The 4631-nt window shown below is 39.6% G+C and overlaps 3 annotated features.

The window, feature by feature from the left end:
• Positions 2255-2549: an enhancer, noted in NCBI's record as "tiled region #297; HepG2 Activating non-DNase unmatched - State 13:Ctcf, and K562 Activating DNase unmatched - State 4:PromP". NCBI's record gives its function as "activates a minimal TATA promoter and a strong SV40 promoter by Sharpr-MPRA in HepG2 and K562 cells {active_cell/tissue: HepG2 | K562}" and the evidence as "EXISTENCE:reporter gene assay evidence [ECO:0000049][PMID:27701403]".
• Positions 2342-2541: a silencer, noted in NCBI's record as "fragment chr1:219834516-219834715 (GRCh37/hg19 assembly coordinates)". NCBI's record gives its function as "represses an EF-1alpha promoter that drives an FKBP-Casp9 reporter gene in an ReSE screen in phorbol 12-myristate 13-acetate-treated (for megakaryocytic differentiation) K562 erythroleukemia cells {active_cell/tissue: K562(+PMA)}" and the evidence as "EXISTENCE:reporter gene assay evidence [ECO:0000049][PMID:32094911]".
• Positions 2496-2545: an enhancer, noted in NCBI's record as "active region_2548". NCBI's record gives its function as "activates an Ori minimal core promoter by ATAC-STARR-seq in GM12878 lymphoblastoid cells {active_cell/tissue: GM12878}" and the evidence as "EXISTENCE:reporter gene assay evidence [ECO:0000049][PMID:35858748]".

The following is a 4631-nucleotide window of genomic DNA, read 5'->3' on the forward strand; positions in this document are numbered from 1 at the left end:
TTTTAGAACCTAAATAACAAAAATAGCTTATTTTTGAATGCCTACTTTTGAATATGTTTACGGACTCTACATATATTTTTCTCAGCCTTCAAACAACTCAATGGCAAGAGGTCTCATTTTATAGATGAAGAATCAAAGATTAAACAATGAATGGAAAAACAGGGTTTCTAACCACATCACATACTATTCCACCACCACCATCATCACCACCCTTTCCCGTGAACACGTTCTCCCAAATGCAACAACGCCTATGTAAGCATAAATATGATTCTGTATGGCTCTGATTCAACTAAGCACTTTGCCACACTGCTGCTGGTTCTCACTAAGTAATGTCACAGAACTATATATTGCACTGCCCTAGCACAGAACTGTTTTTCAGAAGTGACTCAAATAGAAAGTGGCATTAGTATTAACATACAAAAACATTCTTTTTTTGAAACTCAGAATGCTGGATCTAAGAAATGGCCACTTTAAGCTTGCACTAAATCTGAGTTTTGATGCTTAGCACATTCATGCTTAACGATCTGAACAATAAGTAGTGTGTCTTCCAACTGGTGCAGCTCATTCCCAGCAGCCTAGATAAAGCTGGTGGTGAGTATCCAGTCATTAGAGCTGGAAATGGACTCAGCACCTAGCATGAGCCAAATTGTGACTTCATGCAGGGCTATTTCTTTTTTCTTTTCTTTTTTTTTTTTTTTTTTGGTTTGTTTGTTTCTGTAGCTGTTCTGTTGCATTAAAGAGGAAAAAATTAATATGAACATTCAGTTCAACAACTGCCTTTGAGCACCTCTTATTGCAAAAGCCCCATGCAAAGTAGACACTGTGGAGATAAATAGATTTTAAAATATGCCCCCAAGGAAACTATGAAATTGCTGGCACAAATATTTAAGGGAAAATGGGCCACACTGACATTCCAGAATAAAACTGGTGAGCATTTCACTTATTAGGTAAAAGAGAAAACTCTTACTCATATTGAAATAATGTTTTGGTCTTCTTCTGAAACATGATATACTTTCCTATATTTGACAAAACTGACTTATCCACTTATGCCTGCTGTTTAGGGAGCCCCTGCTGAGAACTGAGAAGTTTCTGTCCTGAAGTCACCAGCTGAGAGGGCTGTTGCTAAACTCTCCCCACATTCTGTCTCCCAATGGCGTCATAGTCTTTGAACACAATGTAAACACATGCTTAATTTTAAGATTGGCTTATTATCTACATTCAATATCTCTGTTTATCAGAGCCCCTCTTAGTCTCTACATCTGTCTACTTATTCCAAACCTTAGTACAACCTTGCCCATCACTGAGGATGATAAACGTGACACAGATTGTCATTTTCCTTTTTATTCTAATGAGCAATCTGGCTCTCATTAGGGCCAATTAAATTAGAACATCCCCCCCAAAAAAGAATATTTAACGTTTATTCTGAGAACAAAAGAGAAAATGCAAGTGTAATCTGTCAGTTTATCAGGCAATATTTTTAACTTAATATTAAGAAATTGCTGTGAACTCATAAATAAACCATTAGCAAAAAGAAAACTGCTAATTAAGGTATAATCTAATCTGCTCGTCTCCATTTTGATCATAGGGTAAAAGTTCAATAAACTTTTTGATCGATACACCACAGAGATAGAAGTGAAATAGTCAAGACTTTTAATCAGGTAATTCACACTCCAGGAAGAAGAGAGGAAAAAAACACTTTGCCTCAATTCCCTCAAAATTTTGCACTAAAAATCTTGCTTTGGGGTGACTCAACCTCTCACTTATAATTTTACAAACGGCATAACCTGAGCGCTTAGAGACCATTTAGCCCAATTCCCTCATTTTACAAATGAAGAACAGGAATACAAAGACTAAGGGAGGCCCCTGGGGGCAGCGCTGGGCTGAGAACCAGGTGTCCCGACGTCAGCTCCTCCCACCTCACCTCCCTTACAAAAAAAGGGGGTGAGGAGGATACCCCTGTTGCACACAGGAGGTGGGGCGCTGCTTAACTTTTGTTAGCACCATCCGTGGGGGTGCTTGGGAAGTTTCGCTCCCTATGAGCGTGGTGACGTCATGCGAGCCAGGGGTTTTCCTAAAGGCAGCCTATGGCTCTGGCCAACGGGACCAAATCTCGGAGGGCCAAATTGAGGGAGTGTGAAGTGGGGGATGTGGCTGGAGAAGAGAAGGTGATACTAGGCCAGGACAGCTGCAAAATGACTGACAACGAGAATGAGAATATGGGTTCCTCTCTTGAGTCCCCAGAATTTTTTTCAAGTTCTTCAGCTGCATACATTTGGCTCTCTGGCGCCCTTTGTTTTCTGGCTGATGATCCTTTTATTTTTCCTGTCCTACATTTAAAAGAGAAGGAAAGAAGCGGGGAAGTCGGTTCCAACTACTCCTCGCAGCCAGTCCTCGAGCGCCCTCTGCCGTGTACATGGGAGCTCTTTGTCTTAACCTTGCAAGCGCTTACTCCTGGGTGTTGCTTTCCGCTATCAACAGAAGGTTATGGCGACATCTACAGAAGGTTATGGCGACATCTTTGCTTCTGTCTGCTGCTCAGGAAAAGCTTGGAAAATACAAAATTAGGTTGATAAAATTTGTTTCCTGTAGGAGTGTCTCCTAATTCAAGTGGAATGTCGCTCACCAGTGGGCTTAAATAAACCCTTAATCTTAAACATCCACTTTATCATGAAAATGGCACTATTTATTCCACTGGCAATATCTTGTGTCGAAATCTAAACAGTATTTCTTCTCTAATGGGAGTGAGACAGAAAGTCCTGCCAATCAAGCAGGAAAAAGAAGCCTGCATCAGACAGCAGGCCTCTGTTTCAAGGGATAAAAACCCATATTCATTCACCCAGGACTGCCGCAACTTTAAAAAACAATGTCAAAAGGAAAAGAAGGCATTGTTGCAAAAGAAAGTTCTCTGGTGTTTGTTTCATTCTTTTTTCTCTTATTTTCTTCTCTTAAAGAAAAAAATAAAAGCTGGTATAATTCCTGGTTTGCTTAAAGGCTAATGTATATTTACAGAAGCATCCAAGCCATGAATCGCTTTGAATTGAGTCGCTGTTAGATGTACAATAGGCCTACTGTGTTGCAAAGAGTCTGGCCACTCATCATGACCCCCTATTCAGTCGACCGTCCATTAATCTAAACACAGGCTCTCTCAGAGACATCCAGAAGCCCAACAATGGTTTACATTTTTTGGATGCTACCTTCCGGTTACTGTACCTAAGTGGGGAAATGTTGCTGAGAGATATTCCAATTTGACTCCCAAACGGGTTTTAAGCAAGTTACCATCCACTTGCCCTAAGCACAAAAGAACAGGTTTTCTTTTCCTCTGCCAAGTATCAATTTTTATATCAGATAGACGTCAATTATTGCTAAAAAGCTGATACAATAATAATGGAGCAGCACACAGTGGGCAGAGTCCCACTGCAGTGAAATTGGATAAGGATTTGGTTTGATTATGTAACTTTTTAGAGCAGCATAGTTTCTGCTAATAGCATGATAAATAAACAGCATCTATAGAATGTCTGAAGAATGACAATTTTAAAAAGAAAGAAAAAACAAAGGTGACCCTTGAATGTCTCTGACAACTAATCAATTTCTGACTACCTTTTTAGTCCCTTCCCTTTACCTCACCAACAACTGCATGTCACCAAACAAGGTTTCCCAAAGAATCTCCTTCTTTCCCCTGCTGGATCAGGTGAATCATAGAATCCACCATACAACTGACAAAAAGTTTTGTTCTACCATAAAGCAATGTAAAGATTAAATGTAAAGCAATGGCCAGATTTCACTTGGAACTTTCTTCTTGTTCAAATTCACTGTAAAATCCCCTTGGTTTAAAACAATGCAAGGTATACGTCCATACCACCCTGAACGCACCCGATCTCGTCTAAAACAATGCAGGAAGAAAATCACGTATTCTGCCGGAAATTCATTTATTTATCTGTACTATAAGACCATTGACTATTCCCTCACTATTTCCATAGTTTTATTAATGCTACAGAAAGAGAAAGTAACATTTTTCCCCAAGATCCCTTCTCATTTTATGGAGTAGATATTTTGAGGCATTACCTAAGTACTCCCAAGCATCCAAATATCCAAATCTAAAATATCTAAAATATCCCAAATATCTAAACACCTCAGATGGGTAAAAGCCTACCTTTTTTTGGGAGATATTCATAAGAGGAAGAGGGAGAGAGCTCACATCCTTATTTTTAACTCATTGCTGTGTCTAAATATCCCCACTACCAGCATCTAAGCTGAATTCTCCCTAGAAATGCTCAGTGCTGGTTATCAGAAGAGAATATGACATAATGATTAACTAGCACAGTATTGACTGTTTCTACTTATCACCACCATGACAAACTGCAAGATCGAACTTCTACTCCATCCCTCATTTTTGTCCACATGAAATCAGAAACCAATTTGACCCATTTATTCACTGAAATGCTTTAATTAGATGGTCTCAGGTACTCTCCAGAAATTACTTTCACTTTCTAACTTCATCACCCACAACTTTTCGCCAGCCACCACCCCTTTAAAAAGACCTCCAACCCGGGTGCTTATTAAAATAGCAGAAGCCCAAGCTCCACCTAGACCTACTAAATTAGAAACTCTGAGATGGAGGCCCAGGAATCTGC

This window comes from Homo sapiens, chromosome 1 (assembly GCF_000001405.40).
Source record: "Homo sapiens chromosome 1, GRCh38.p14 Primary Assembly".
Lineage (NCBI taxonomy): Eukaryota > Metazoa > Chordata > Mammalia > Primates > Hominidae > Homo > Homo sapiens.